The sequence below is a fragment of the Homo sapiens genome, chromosome 5 (assembly GCF_000001405.40).
Source record: "Homo sapiens chromosome 5, GRCh38.p14 Primary Assembly".
In the NCBI taxonomy this organism is placed as follows: Eukaryota; Metazoa; Chordata; class Mammalia; order Primates; family Hominidae; genus Homo; species Homo sapiens.
The window spans coordinates 124,659,645-124,675,907 of NC_000005.10; the positions used below are offsets into that span (position 1 = coordinate 124,659,645).

General features: G+C 39.5%; 1 protein-coding gene across 9 annotated transcripts in view, besides 2 other annotated features; it reads right to left on the bottom strand.

Annotated features, from left to right (window-relative positions):
- The window catches only part of ZNF608 (zinc finger protein 608), a 111,910-nt gene that overhangs the window by 22,730 nt on the left and 72,917 nt on the right, over nucleotides 1-16,263 (bottom strand). The window lies entirely within an intron of this gene.
- Nucleotides 659-1,352: an enhancer, noted in NCBI's record as "OCT4-NANOG-H3K27ac hESC enhancer chr5:123995996-123996689 (GRCh37/hg19 assembly coordinates)". NCBI's record gives its function as "activates a minimal SCP1, AML or CMV promoter by ChIP-STARR-seq in naive H9 embryonic stem cells {active_cell/tissue: H9 hESC(naive)}" and the evidence as "EXISTENCE:reporter gene assay evidence [ECO:0000049][PMID:30033119]".
- Nucleotides 2,792-3,309: an enhancer, noted in NCBI's record as "NANOG-H3K27ac hESC enhancer chr5:123998129-123998646 (GRCh37/hg19 assembly coordinates)". NCBI's record gives its function as "activates a minimal SCP1, AML or CMV promoter by ChIP-STARR-seq in naive H9 embryonic stem cells {active_cell/tissue: H9 hESC(naive)}" and the evidence as "EXISTENCE:reporter gene assay evidence [ECO:0000049][PMID:30033119]".

Genomic DNA, 16,263 nt, shown 5'->3' on the forward strand with positions numbered 1-16,263 from the left:
CTTGTAGATCAGTAGGTCATGGGTGATTAGCAGAGTTCCAGGTTTAAATGCCATTGAATTGCTTGTCAAAATATGTGTAATACAACTACAGATTATAGGACTGTATCTTAAAGTAATTTCTTACCATCCCCAGTCCTTGAGCTGTAAGGAGACAGTGGGAACCAATTGACAATTATGCTCCACATCAAAAAGCTGCTACTGATCCATGTGTCTCACTGGGATTGAAGAGCCAGGCTTCCTATAAATTATGATGCTTTATTTAAAGTCAGAGCGCTTATTTGCTTTTGTGCCAGCTCTGGGCCCTTTTCATCTCTAGCTATACCGGGCCCAGGAGAGCATACATTCCTACCGCTCTGCTGGCCACCAGCTGTGTCCTCTGTAAATCATAAAACCTCTGAACAAGCTATTCTTTACAAAGGCCAACAACATTTACTGGAAATGATCACTCTGCTATTATTCCATTCACTGAAATTTAAAATAGCAATTTACAACAGCAGCCGAAAACAGAAGAACTGCCTCTCTTAACTCTGTGTGTGTGTGTGTGTGTGTGAGAGAGAGAATGGGAGAGATCTGCATGTATATGGCACACAAAGGGGTACATTTTGTGTGTCACCAAAAAGCCACCATCTTTGCAAATCTAGAAAGGAAACAAGGAATATGAATGTCAGAGAAACCAGACTCAGTTTCACCTTTGGCGGCAGGGTGAATGAGGCTTAAGTTGTTGGTGAACCTCCCTGTTCTTCCTGGAGGTGGCCATGCCCTGCAGGCAGTGTGGGAAGTAGTTCCCACATTCTGGTAGAGAAGCCACAGCATGTGGCTCAGGTTCAGAATGCAATAGGGAAAGCTGAAAGGATGAACTCTGCAGTCATTTCTGAGGAGTAGGAAGGAAGAAAGAATAAACAGTGGCCATCAAATGGAGCACCCTAAGCACCTGAAAGCATGTCTCTGGAGACAGAGGCAGACTCACCTGTTCACAACCAGCTTTGTAGCCGCTTCATCTTGAGCTAACCTAAACCTACCTGAGCCTCAGTTTCCTCATCTATAAAATGGGAGTAATATGGATATTAAATAAGATGTGATTTATGTAAAGTATTTAACATGAGCACTGGCATAAAGAAGCCACTCAGCATATGTACTACGGCGTCCTCATCTTTTAAACTCTCCTGTAACTCACCCAGGTCATAAGCTGAAGAATGGAAGGAGATGCCAAAATGCTATGAATTCCACACTCAGAAATGCAGCTGGCAGCAAGCCCTCCCGCATTCCTCCCAGGTGAAGCAAACTCAGTTATGCGCATCTACACTAATTATCCCACATTGCTGGTGACCAGGCTTACTATAAATGTGGCCTATCTTTCTTTTAGAATCTTAAGGGCTGCAAATTCCAACCTGAGGGACTTCTTTTATTATTTCTATACCCACCACCAATTTCAAATGATATAAAATTTATCTTTCCTAACCCATCCATTGTTTAAAGCAAACATTTCCTCTGACTACTCAATAGTAAAGGCAACTGAGAAATGCAGTTCTAAATCACTGAAGCCTCATCTCTGGACTATTTCAGGGTAAGAAAACCTCATTTCATGTTTTCAGGAACAGCTAACTGAATGCCTGACATTTGTCTAAATTACAAAAGCCAAAATTAAAGCTCCCCAGTACCGTGACAACAGAAATGAGACTCTGCAGCAAGGCTCTGGGGATGCAGATGGACAGAGCAGGTTAAACATGAACTCATCTTTCCAATTCCCATCTGGACCCACCAGTTTTCTTGACAGCACTCAGAGGCTGCCTTCCCACCCTCCCCCATTCCACATTCCAAAGTTCTTATCTTTCAGGGAAGAAAAAAAAAAAAAAGCCCCACAGAGTTACAAGTATTTCAATAACGTGCTTAGAGACCAGCTCTTTTCTGTAAACAAGCCTAATGAAGTGTGACTAATAGTGCTCTCCTCCAGCACAGGGAAGGTAAAAGGGCCTTTGTTAGCACTTACTGGAGCAAAGTCGTCATTTTGCTGGAGCAGAACAAAACTTAGCTGGTTATTGATTGACCAGCCTGCTCGGTGTCACTGCTTTACTGTCTATTTCTATATACTCTGTGTGTAAATACGTGTGTTTACACAGACACTGAGATCGTCTGTATACACACAGTCACACACAGCCAGCTAACCTTTCTCTGCAAACAGGATGAAGTGTTCAAGGCATCTAACTGAAATCTAATTCCTCTCCGATATTTGTATCTCTTCTAGTCCTTGATATCACCTAACATTTCTCTCCATGTTGTTAGTATCATAGTATCATGAACCTCAATTTCAGGGCCTGTAAACCAACCCTCCCCATGGACACTTAATAGTTTCCGAAGTCACTCTGATTTAACCTGACCTGGTTATTACATTCTAGAGGTGATTTTGTTTTTTCATGAATTCAAAATTGCTGCTGTTTCCTTTCCCCATTTCACTGATCAATTCTGAAACTCCTGAAATTTGGCTCCAAATGTTAACTGCTAAATAAATACTTCATGATGACTTAAATTGTCTTCTTCAATTGACGTTTGTCTTAAGTATTAATATACACAGCAGCGATGTTAGCAGGAAGATCTGAAGTTGGCTCTGACTTCTTTCTTGGATGACTGAGGAATTCAAGTCAAAACCTGCTTTCCTTGCGAATCTGAGCACAAATTTCCGTATAAATTATTGACTGCACTTTGGCCTCATCTGAAACATTAGCCCCACAGGCTGATAAGTTCTGACCCCAGGTGGCACATCAGCCCTCTCAGAAGAGGCAGGAACATTAGTGCTTCGCACTGGGGACTAAGGCGTGTGAGCCAATCAATCACACTCTCTGACAGCTTTTACTGCCTCTGTGCATTAGGCCCAAGTCAACCTCCAAGACTCCTATTGTTCGCATTATTCTCTTATTCTCTGGTCTCATGAAGTTAGGGTTAAGTCCAAGGCTTTAGCAAGAGAAAGGCTATTGTTAGTAACTCAGTCTTTATTGACTCTGACCTGCAGGGCAGCCGACTTCAAGCCTTTTCCAGAAAGTAATGCACTGTTAATTGCTGCTCATCATCAGCGTGTGTTTTATACACCTCTCTTCACTGAAAGAAAACCTGACCAAATATTTCAGCATCCTCCCAGGTTGCCTTGTAATTCTCTCAAGAGTTACAGACACACAGACACACACACACACACAGACACACACACTTCTGGACAAAAATCTGATTTGTACTCGCCACAGTCCCTGAACCAGTAAATCTAATACCAATGCAAACAGAATGTTTGGCTGGACAATGCTAACACTTGGGGGTTGCCACCTGGAACAATAAATAAATTTTTTCATGGCAAATATCTGTGGGGATTAGTATATAGGGCAGGAAAATGCCTGATGGAAGAATGAGGTAGAAACCTATTATTTCCTTCTGATGTCCTTTGCTTAAAATAACTAAAGATCTTTTTCAGTGGAAACTAGTAGCTCTATTTGTGAGCAGCCAGCAACAGACTGGATAGCCTCAGGGTGAAGAGTACAGCATTCCATTCAGGCTTCCTTTGAAGAAATTCAGCACTCTAAAGGGGTGGCAGAATTATTGGTCCAAAGGCTTTCCGGTTTTCTTTGAAAGAGAAAACAGGCAGCCCATTATCTCTTCTTACCCAAACAGGCCTCTCAGGGGAGACAGGAGGGAAAGGCGAGTGGTGTGGCCGTAGAAGGTACACACCAGAGCGTCCAGGTCTGTTGCTCACTGCAGTGGGGACCCAGACCTGGCCTACCACACAGCATGCACAAAACCTGCCCCACCCCACAAAACCTTGCTGTTCAAAGTGGTAAACGACAGGCTACAATGTGAATGCTTCAAGTGAGAAAGCACATGTTGACATTTCGGAAATCAAATTTCTTGGGTTCAGGGAAAAAGCACAAAAACCAAATGGTTTGGTTTTATACACAGCTTTTGATTGAGAAATTTTCAGCCACAAAAGACTTTGACATTTAGCCAAAGTATTATGCTATTAATACTTTATTTAGTACATCTCAGCATATGAATTAGTATATATGAATTAGTGCACACTTTCCCAAACCGGTGAGCAGAAAGCCATTTTAAATTCTGTTCCATTTGTGTGCTAGATAATGGATTGACTCCAAGATATGTGAAAGTAATACTAAATTTGATAAGCTTTCCAAAAAGGTACTGGTTAGGAGAACAATGCTTTCTGTCTTGATAAAGTCTCCTGGTGCGGCCGATTACATTTTCTGGTGCCATTCAGTTCTACTTAATTTTAATATTAGAGAGAATTAGATCAAGGAAACCTAAAATTTGCAATTAACCTTTTCCCTTTAAATTGTAGTCCTGTATCTGTAGCTTAAATTTTTAACAAATCCTTAATTTTTAACAAACAAGAATGCAACATCATAGCACATTAAGCTCATAACTACGATGGGCTAACAGGACCAAAACATATTTTGTAAAGCATTCAAAACAAAATAATAGCCTGTTCTTATATAATGAACTTTCTTGAGTCGTCCTATTTCTTATAGCCTAGAAATAAGTTAGGAAACAATTCAGAGGAAAAAAAACAAAATATACAAATAGCTGCTGAAAAAAGACACACTACAAATTTTAAGTCTTGAGTTAATAAAGATGGAAACTGCAGGAGGTCAAAATTGAAATCACTAAAAATGTAAGCCTATGGACAAACTGAACTCAGGATTTGCTCACTGAATCTTGGTGAAGTTGAAGTTGGGGCTTCCTCTGAAGCTTAAAAGAAGGCAATTCAAAACTAATAAAATAAGCATTATTTTACACACTAGGCAGTTAACATTTTTGTTATTGTCCCCAGGGGATAAAGACAGAAAATAAATATTAGGAACATTGATTGAGTGCTTTGCTATGCTATGTGTAGGTCGCAAGAATAAGTGTTTTTTATACAGCTTATCTCATTCATTCCTCAGAGCCTGTGTGTCAGGTCCTTTTATTATTGCTATTTTACTGATGAGCAAAGTAACTCTTGGAAAGCTTAACTGGCTGACTTGCCCCAGGTCAGAAAGTCAGAGATTTGGAGCACAGGCAGTCTGACTTCTGATACCATACTTCTAAATGCACTTTATAAGTTTACATAAACTTATTTATAAATAACACAGTGTCATGAAGGAATGGTGCATGTATGGATGGGGACCCACAAGGCTAAGGTCATCTTGATGATGATAGTGGTATGTTGGAGGCATGTGCTGCAGGTGGCAAGCATCTCTTCTCAATACCATGTTCAAGGCTGGGCGCAGTGGCTCACACCTGTAATCCCAGCACTTTGGGAGGCTGAGGTGGATGGATCACGAGGTCAGGAGTTTGAGACCAGCCTGGTCAACATAGTGAAACCCCGTCTCTACTAAAAATACAAAAAGTTAGCTGGGCTTGGTGGTGGGTGCCTGTAATCCCAGCTACTCAGGAGGCTGAGGTAGGGAGAATGGCTTAAACCCAGGAGGCGGAGGTTGCAGTGAGATGAGATTGTGCCATTGCACTCCAGCCTGGGCAACAGAGGGAGACTCCACCTCCCCCCAAAAAAAAAAAAAAATACCATGTTCAGTGACATCACACTGGAAACTTGAAACTGACCACGGTGGTGATATAATCACCAAAGAAAACAGCAAATGTTACAAATCAGGGCTCTCTCCCTGCAACTCCCACCACAGAGCCAGGTGTTAAATACTTACTGGCACACCAATGGTTATAAATTTAATTTGCTGAACTGCCATGCTTCAATCACATGAAATATTAAAATAAAGTACAACAGAGCCAAAAGAGCTCCTGCATTATAATTATGTTCCCCAGTCAAATATAAAAGTAAAAACTGGAAAGGTGAAAATTGTTCATCAGCTGCTTCTGATATCTTGTAAGTGAAGGAGCCTGTCTCAGTTGGTTCTTTCCTTTTTTAAAATAATCTGACGATATAGCTGTAAACAATTTGGTTTTATGTATTTCTATTTTTTTATTAGAAACTTTTGTGGAATAAGTAATCTCACAAGTCAAAGAAATCAGGAATCTTCCTGAGATTTCAGTAGCCATCCAGTTTTACTGGACTATTACAAAAGCAATTGATGAGGTACATTTGTCTCTCACCTGATGTAGAAGCTCTAAACACAGCCCATAACATGCCCAGCCATGGCAGATCCAGACTGTTGGCCTCTCCCACTACTCCTTGCAGTTTAATGAACAGTCATATCCAACAAATCTCCTCCCAATAGCCTGCCAGTGGTTATTCTCCCAGACTCTGGGCCCCAAAGAGGGATTTGTCATTGCTTAAAATAAATTTTACAGATGTAATAGATAAAGGCAATAAAGAAAACAGAGCTTTTATAAAACAAAGTTGACAGAGCAGAAAGCTATCTCTCCATAATGGGCATGTACGTTTGTGCGTACTAGGTTGCTTGTGTGTACCAAAGGGAAATAGACAATGAAGGTTAGGAGGCATGAAATGACAGCCTTCTTTGCCTTTCAGGGAACGTAAATTTTATTCACTGAACGTAAATCTTAAAGCCATAGTTTTCAATCTGCATGTGTGATCACCAGAAATTGATTTCAAAGAGATACAAAATTATTTAACGTGTTGCTTGGCAATGCAAATCCCAGGCTAGATAGTCAAGATTGTCAATAGTGGAAAATTCAGATGATGTTTCCTGTTGTGATCCTTGTTGGTACAGATTATTTTCATCTGCCTTTTGGTGAATGCGCCACTACTGGATGCAATCCATGTCCTCAAGCGGCCCATTGCTTCTAATAGGCACTTCCCTTGTACTAGCTGAAATACTAAAAGATAATTTTCTTTCCCAGTGTGCTTTTGGGTACCTCATGCTCTCCAAATAATACAAATAGAGTAGTTTCTTTTAAAATGTCAGGTCTTTAGGCTACTAGCAATCATGTACCTGGCTCCTAATACAAGGGAAAGAAATGGAAAGAAAAAAACTTCAATTTTCTTGCCTTCATAATATAGCAAAGGCACATTCCGCTCCCCCAGCCCTGGAAGATTAGTAACTCAATGTGACTACTTTTATCACAACTCAAATATCAAAATACAAACTGGGTTTGCTCTGTGTGTGTGTGTGTGTGTGTGTGTGTGTGTGTGTGTGTGTGTGTGTGTTTCATCTGTTTAACAATTTATGGCCTTTAATGCTTAACCCTAGTTAATTAAATTAGCCTAATTTTATGTAAAGACATATTTCAAAATAGAAACTTGGCAAATATGTAGAAATCCCAGTATGCAAGCATATATTCTATAAAATAGAACACAAAATAATGAAAAAATTTAATAAAAATTGTCATTCCAAAAACACATGGTCACAGTAACCAACAATGTAGGTGCGTGGAATCAATATATGAGTAAATATGGCCAGTACAGATGCAGAAGGTATCCTCTGGAGCAGCAGATTACAGAGACATAAATTTTCATCTACTTAATATAAATTAGCAATTCAATTCAAAGTAAAAATGAACTGCCTGATCCCTGAGTGCATGAAGTATTTAAGATCAACTCTTCAAGATAACATCTACTTAGACCGTATTCACAACCCCAGTCATTACATTAAAGAAATAAAGTTATTGGTATGGGTTTGGAAGTTAGGATGGCAGGAGGAATGGTGGGGGGCAAGAAATATCTTTTACAAAGCATTTATACATAAAGCACTGATCCCAACTACATGTGTTCCTATAGTTTAATTCCACCTGACCCCAGAGGAAAGCTGCTTCTGATAATCAGTGAAACTGGGCTCCTGGGGACAGAGTGTTCATTCTGTGCAAGTCCTGCACTGCATTCATCCCCTGAACACAGCTTCCTCCCACCCCCACCGTGGCTGGAAGAAAACAAGTGGCAACATCAACACCATTGTTGATAACTGTAAGAAGATCTACAAGTAGCAGGGTCTTCGATGTTGAAATTCCAAATTATAGACAGCATGCTGGCATGCTAATGACAGACACCCCTGTCTCTGCCTAGAACAAATATTATAACACTGGGAATTGCCCTTTTGTTTGTTTAATTTAACAAGTGCATATCATGCTGACTATGTTAGGCACTATTCAAAATGTCTTCCAAATATTAACTCTTTTAATCCTCCTAACCACCCAAACAAGAGGTACTATATTATGGTATCTCTATCGTACAACCGAGGTACAAGGAAGGCAATAAGTAACTGCCCAACATCACATAGGCAGTAATCTGTGGAACTAGGAAATGGAACCCAGTTTGTGACAATTACCCAGTATTCCCATGTAGAAGACACCGGTGCAAAGAGAGTGAACAGAAGACTCCTGGCCCTCAACTCAAGGGCTTTGCCCCTTGCTCTAGTTGGTCACGTGCTAAATATACATGACAAGGTACGTGAATCACACAATAAGCTTCACCATATCACATCTAGAACTCATATAAAATAAACACCAACAAACAAGCAACAAAGGCCAGGCATGGTGGCTCATGCCTGTAATACCAGAACTTTGGGAGGCCGAGGCAGGAGGATTCACTTGAGCTCAGGGGTTTGAGACCAGCCTGAGCAACATATGGAGACCTTCTCTATGCTTAAAAATATATATATATATATATATATTATATATATATATATTTTATATATATCTATATATACCGCAGGATGTAGTGGCTTGCACCTATAGTTCCAGCTACTTACAAGGCTGAGACCAGAGGATCATTTGAGCCTTGAGGTGACTGAGGTTGCAGTGAGGTATGATAATGAGACCCTGTCTCAAAACAAAACAAAACACCACACAGAAAAAAAAAAATCACGTAATTTTCAAGCACAAAAGAATCTTGGAGATCACTTATTCCATATTTGTCCTCCTTATCAAGAAGGAAACTAGGGCCCAGAGAGGTTAAATGGCTAGTCCTGGGCCCTAAAACTAATTGGAACAGAGCCAAAAACAGAGCCCAAACCACACTTGGATCTCTAACTTTCTTCTCTTCCAGTGATCCTTTGCCCCCACACAGCAGCCTCTGGGGTAGGTGGCCATCAGGACACCAGTTGCCTGGCTCTCAGCACTTCTCCAGTGAGCATAATGTTCCTTTAACGCCCATCACACAGCTGGGAGGCCTGACCCACGCCCAGGAGCCTTTCGGGAATTTTGCCCCAGTAAGACTAACACAAAGCTAAGTGATTAGAAATTGCTTTGGAGAATAGGGGGTTTAAGACAAGACTTCCTTGAGGTCTGGGTAAAGAAGGGGCCAATACACTAGGCAATAACCAAAGTCCTTCAGTTGGTGACACAGGAAGCAATTCATTTAATCAATCATTCAACCAATTCATTTAATCCTAAACTTCCTCATTAGCAAGACAGCCAAACCCAAATGTCTCAGATTTATGGCACATAAAGTAATTGAAGAGAAGGAACCAGAAGACTACCTATTGCAAAGGGCATACTGCTAAAATATAACCCATTTAGCACCATATTTAGTGCACTGAGAAGAAAAAAAAAATCGGATGGAGCAGTAGTGACTTTACTGCCTCTGGTAAATATGACCATAGACTTCCTGGGATAGCACCTTCATAAGACAGGGACACGTGGCAGACAAGAATGAACCTACTGACTCAGCATCCCCCACCGAAATCACATTACAAAATAGAGTTTATCTAAACTTGCATTGCAAGCCTCTTGCTCTACTTGCTTCATTTTATCACAAGGCTTACATAGCCACTCTGGCTGAAAGGTGGGGGGCTGCATCCTCAGATGCACACTGTCTGTGCTTTCCACAATGGAAGAAGAGGTGTTCTCAGCATGGCATCAGCCACCACACGGCCTGCTCTCATGGAGATGGTTCAGCACCCAGGGACCTGACGGGAACAGTGGACAGCATACAATACAATACTCAAAACAAATGGGCTGTCCCTGCCAAGTGAACGCTATAGGCTGCAAGGCACTAGCTTATTCCAAATGTTAAGAATCAGCTTCCATTTTTGGAGGAACTATAGCGTAGGTTTCAGAACCTGGGTCCCTGGTTCAAAAAATCCATGAATCCCTTCTCCCAAACACACACAAACACACACACACACACACACACACACACTCCTGGAGGATGGTATAGATGGGTTTCATACCTAGGCTTATCAGACTCCTGTGTTTTCCCAAAACTCGCCAGATGATAAAAATACACCTGAGTCCTTATTACAGATACTAATCCCTAGCTCTCCCCTAAGGATCCAAGGTGATTCTTATCAGAGCCACTAGGCTAACAGACTTTAAAGAAAAATGTACATTATACAAACTAAGATATACATAAACTGTGTTGAGTTTTCCCAGGAAAGAAATGGGGAATGATAATTTTGATTAATTACTTTCCAGTATTTTGGGGACTGGGTTGCAGGTGGGAGTAGGATATATTTGACTATTCCTTTAGAAGTCACTAAGGAGCCTGGAACAAGGCTGAGAGCTTTTTATCTGCCTGAGTCCTATGACAGGAGTATTAATACAACAGCTTTACTTGGTTTAAAGAAAGAATTATTTTACCACCCACACTAATCTCTTCTGGCAAGAGGCAGAATTCTGCTGTGGCTACTCACAAAAGATGACGGAGCCCAGCAATCCTTTCTTCACAGAGATAGAGGGGAATTTGGGACTTTTCAAAATATTAATATAATCTCACTTATTAAGATAAAATGATGTGCTAAATAAAGCACTGGAAATTTTCACAAGTGCAGCTATCCTTTTTCTTTCTTTCTTTTTTTTTTTAATGGAAAGGCTCTATAAGACTGCCCATTTTCACATCATAGCCTAAAATATGAACGTCTTGATATGCTATGTAAATGTGTGCTATTTTACCAGAAGTCAAATAACTGGACGAGTCACCACGCAAGATAAAATAAATTGTAGCTAAGAGAAAAAACTAATAGCAAGGCTCGCTTCTTCCTTGTCATAGGCGTGGATCCTCTGCCAGGGATGCCTATGTATGACGGTGAGTGTGCCTGAGGGTAACTCCTAACTCCACCTAATCACCCTACTTTAGAATCAGTTAACCAGTACACTTTTCATTAAGTTTATCAAAGGCCCTTTCTTTTCTTTTAAAACTATAAGAGACAGAGACAGAGAAAGGAAGGAAGAGAAGCAAACAAGCTTGCCTTTTCTATACCGTTCCATCACACAAAACCCTTCTTGTGAGGTCTTCAGAAATAACAATTCAGCAAAAAGTGACAGCAGAGCAACCACTGGGTCAGCCCTTATAAGTCGTTTTCAAAAAGCTGCTTTCAGTGAATCAATTTTCAATGTTGTTTCAGTTATTCTTAGATAGAAAACTTTCTACCCCCTCCCCTTCTCCTTTGGAAATTTGGTAACCATAGTTTCTGTATCCTGCTGAGACTTGATATGTAGAGCTGTATTCTACCTGCTATTAAGCTGCTGATAGCAGTGTTTCTGTTGCAATTTATGAGCAATGTCAGCTGAAGGCAGAGAGTATTGTACACACTATATTTTCCCAGCTGGAGATCTCCGTGAATGGAAAGCAAAAACATGAATACACATGCACTGTGGGCTTGAGGGAATAAAAAGGCAGAAAAGAGTCAGCAGGCTAAAATCAGGTGGGTGGTCCTGATTATAAACTAAGTAGATAATAAAATATTCAAAGGAAGCTCTAACTAAATAGTCAGAAATAGAGACACACAATATAAAGAGAAGCCCAGAAAGGTCTTTTTCTGCCTGTGTATCTCCTGCCCAATTCCTAGATCAGTAATGTGCCAAGACTCACCTTGCCACCTGGGGTTTTAAATAACTCACCATATCCGAAAGGTCATTTGAAACCACAAAAACAAATCCCATTCCACATTAAGTTTCTAATAACTACTACAGCACATGGTGAGAACACCAGATTTAATTTCTCAACCTTCTCTTCTAAATGTGTCTACCCACACAATACCTCAAGAGTCAAATTTGTCTCTTTTCCCTTAAACAAAAATATTTTATATGGAGAAAGAAACTAGGCTCATCTTTGGGGCTAAGAAACAGGCACATCATACTGTCCTGGGGCTTCTCTTTTTTTTTTTTTTTTTTTGAGACAGGGTCTCACCCCAGAGTGCAGTGGCAGGATGACATCACAACTCACTGCAGCCTCAACCTCCTGGGCTCAAGCCATCCTTCTAGCTCAGCCTCCCGAGTACCTGGGACTACAGGCATGAGCCACCACACCTGGCTAATTTTTTAAATTTTTTGTAGAGATGGGGGTCTCCCTATGTTGCCCAGGCTGGTATCGAACTCCTGGGCTCATGTGATCCACCTGCGTCAGCTTCCCAAACTGCTGGGATTACAGGCATGAGCCATTGTGTCCAGCCCCCTTGGGCTTCTTTATCATCAAGTACACAGAAAAGGTAACAGGCCTCAGAGAAGCCCAATTCTACAGAGAAAAAAAGAATCAAATAATGAATTAAGAAAGTATCCAGGAAAAACATTTTTAAAAAGTCATTCTTTCCCTAAGAATTCTACCGAGTAATACAACATAAAATATTAATAGGCACCTAGTTAAATAAACTTGATTTAACTCTCTCTCAGCCAAATATAATACAGAACTGGTTTGTCTGTGTCAGTGATTTCCAATCCTAGTGCTCATTAATTATAAGGGAGGTTTTGTTTCATTTTGTTTTTAAATAACCACAGCATGGCTGACTCCTAAATATTGTGATTTGGTTGATCTGGATCCCAAAGGCCACTTATTAAAAAAAAGGAATTCTTATGTTTAACCAGAGTTGAAAACCACTGGCCTATGCTCTTCCTCCATGGAAATAATGAATCTCTAAAGAACTAATAAACTAATCTAACTATGCCCTCAATTACCTCAGTAAGGCTAAGTTGACTGGGAAACAGGAAAACTGTCTCCTGATACTAAATGAAAAATGCATGCAAAATGAATAATTACAAAAAGCAAAAGGACCTTCACTTATTTTCACTGTAACATAGTTTAAGATGTTTCTCAAGTAACACTGGAACAGATCTTCAGTATAGTTGTTCAACTGTCTTCCTAATCAGAATTTAGTGTTTTGATTCAGACACTCATCTCATAGTACCAATAAAATAAAAATACTGAGCCTATTAAATTTACCAAGCCCAGAGCTAAACCAGGGGAAAAGTGATTACCAATTAAATAGCAACATGACATTCTTTGAAGGAACAGCCTTTTGATGTTACCTTCTCAAATGCTAAAAGGCAAAACTCTCAGATCTTAACCTTGTTCAGAGGAAGTCCAGAGAAAACAACTATGTCTCCTAAAAATTATTTCATCGGAAAAAAGTATGAGCCCAAGTCATTTATCATAGGCTTGTAGTGAGTATGAGGTGACAACAGTAAGTTCCTACTAAGTTAAGGTGACTCTCAAAGAAACAGGAAAAAAGGGTAACTGCAGTGGACTGGCTATTCTCAAACTGCAGAAAAAACATAACCCGAAAGACTGGGTACATGCAATTAATACATTTCTGGAGCCTCCAATAGCCAATGAGGGGGCCTAACTTAACTATCAGGTCCCAATACCCACCCCGCATCCCCACCATCAGTATGAGCATAGTTTGTGCATCCTTTCAAATGGATTCAGCACAAAGCTGCAAATGCTTGTTATTATTAAACTCAGTGTACTTAACTCACACCAGGAGAACTTTCTCCTACAAGAGATTGGAAATCTCTTACAAATGATTAGAAACACCAGACAATATGATGGTTATAGATAGAAATACAGATACGTAGATATCTCTCCCACTCTTAATTATTATGCAATTGGTTAACTAGTTGGTGGATTAAGCAGTTTGTACATTTTTTGGACACTGTAAAACATTTATATTTATCCTCCAACCACAAGAGATGGTCTTAAACTTTTAATTTATTTCCTAGTAAAAAAAATGTATAAACATTCTTACACAATGCTAGGCACATAATAGAATTCGATAGATTCTATTGAATGAGCTCAGCTTTTCATCTTTTTTTTTGTTGTTCATTTCTCTTTTTTAATATAATACTATATCTGAGTATGTCCTTAAAACAAAAATCATGAAAACAAAATAGAGTTAAACACAAACCAGACAACAGCTCAAAATTCAAAAAAGCCTAAATAGAAAATGGAGTAGGGGAGAGGAAACCTCAGGTATAATAAGACTTCTCATCAGTTTTGATGCATATTCCTATTATCAAATGCTTATCTCTAAATCGGCTGTTTATTTCAAGGATATATACAGCATGTAGTTTATGATCATTTAACTACAGAAAGAAAGCAATTATAATTGTTTCCTCACATGGCATAATTTGATGCCTTTTGCTGCTTATATACGTTTTCACTAAATATGAAATTTTTTTTTAATTATTCAAAAGATAGTATGTACTTGCAAAGCAAGTTTCTCTGCTCAGAGGCAAACCAGGTAAATTATGAGAAAATTCACTCATAAAGATAATAATTCTAGAAGTGGAATATTTACTGGGCCATGTTCCCCAAACTTGCATTATCATAAAAATCATCGTGGAGCTTGGCATTCCTCTAAACATTCTCCTGTAGATTCTGGTGTGGTATCCAGGAATCTGCATTTTAGCAAGCACTACACATTATAGGTAAATTGAATCATCAGGTAAAGTCAGACAAGGGCTAACCTATCTGTGTCTGGTACTATGTTCAAAGAGCCCATAATTGAGTGCAGTGGTTCAAAAACCGCTGCACATTGGAATCAACTGGGTGGTCTTTTAAGCTTTGATGCTCATACCCATTTAAATCAAATTCTGTGGAAATGGGGCCCAAATATCAGTAGGTTTTAACTTGCCTAGGTGATTCCAGTGGGCAGCCACATTGGTGAACTAATGTTCCAGCCTAGTTTAGTGGTTCTCAGTTCTCACTGCTCATCAGAATAACTTGTAGGAAGTTACAAACTAACTCATTAAAAAAATGCATAGACTGCATATTAAATCAATTAATTCAGAATATTTGACCATTAGGGCTGAGCCAATGCATTTTTTTTCTAAGTTCCTAAAATGATTTTGTGTGTTTGTTTTGCTTTGAGACAGAGTCTCCCTCTATCACCCAGTGTGGAGTGCAATGGTATAATCATAGCTCACGGCAGCCTCAAACTCCTAGGCTCAAGCAATCCTCCTACCTCAGCCTCCTGAGTAGCTTGGACTACATATATGCACCACCACACCTGGCTAATTTTTTTATTCTATTATTGTAGAGATAGGATCTTACTTTGTTGACAAGGTTGGTCTTGAACTCCTGGACTTAAGTGATCTTCTGCCTCACCTCCCCAAATGCTAGGATTACAGGGGTGAGCCGCCACACCCAGCCCTAAAATGACTTTAATATGCAGTCTAGATTGAGAAGAATGGGCCTAATCGATTCTAAGGTTAATCAAAAGTATTTAAACAACTTAATAAGCTTTTATCCAAACACGCTTTCTCTGCAAAGCACATGACTATGTTTGCCAAATACAACAACTAATTAAAAACAAATAAATTAAAAACAAAACAGTCTCTCCTTTGAAGGAGACTGCAACTCAGCTAGTCAGATAAAAATACACCCTGATGAAAAAACAAGAGGATATTAAAGAGTATCAGCAAGGGTGAAATTTACAGAAGGCTGAACACCTAAGTGCTAAGAAGAAAACTAAAAATGTTATTAGTAAGTTTCCAGTACATGTTAGCTAAGTGACAAATCATTCAAACGTGTGCAAATTCTTGACAAAAATTACTCAAGCTGACTTGGAGATCATGGATTTGAAATATAAAGTCTTCTGGAGCCTTCCAACCTAACTGATCCTTTTCTATTTGAAGACTGCTTTCTTCCTGCAGGAAAATTTACAAAAAACACTTTCAATCCACATTCCCTTCACAAACATTTAGGCTAGTATGGCCAGTGGCAGTTTAGGTATCTGTAACACATTCTCATAATAATGTTTCCATTTTTTATAGCAATATTGTATCCGTTAATATTTTATGTTTACTAAATCCTTAATCCCATTTTATAGACAGAAAAATAAGGCCTAAAGAGTTTAATGACTTGTTTAAATGACTCTTGTCCCTGTCAGGATTCATTCCATGAGACTACGGCCATCATTTTTTTAGAAATACCCTTAATCTATCTGTTATTTAAGGGAAATTCACTTTCTCCATCCATTTTTATGCTCTGCCCCCTCACGGCGTTAGGCACTTCTAGGTGCTTGGAATACAGTAGCGGACAAGACAGACTCCATGCCCACATGGGGCAAGAGAGATAATAACCAAGCAAGCAGCTATAATTTTAAGTACTAAATTCTTGATGAAAATAAGGCAAAGGTTTAGGAA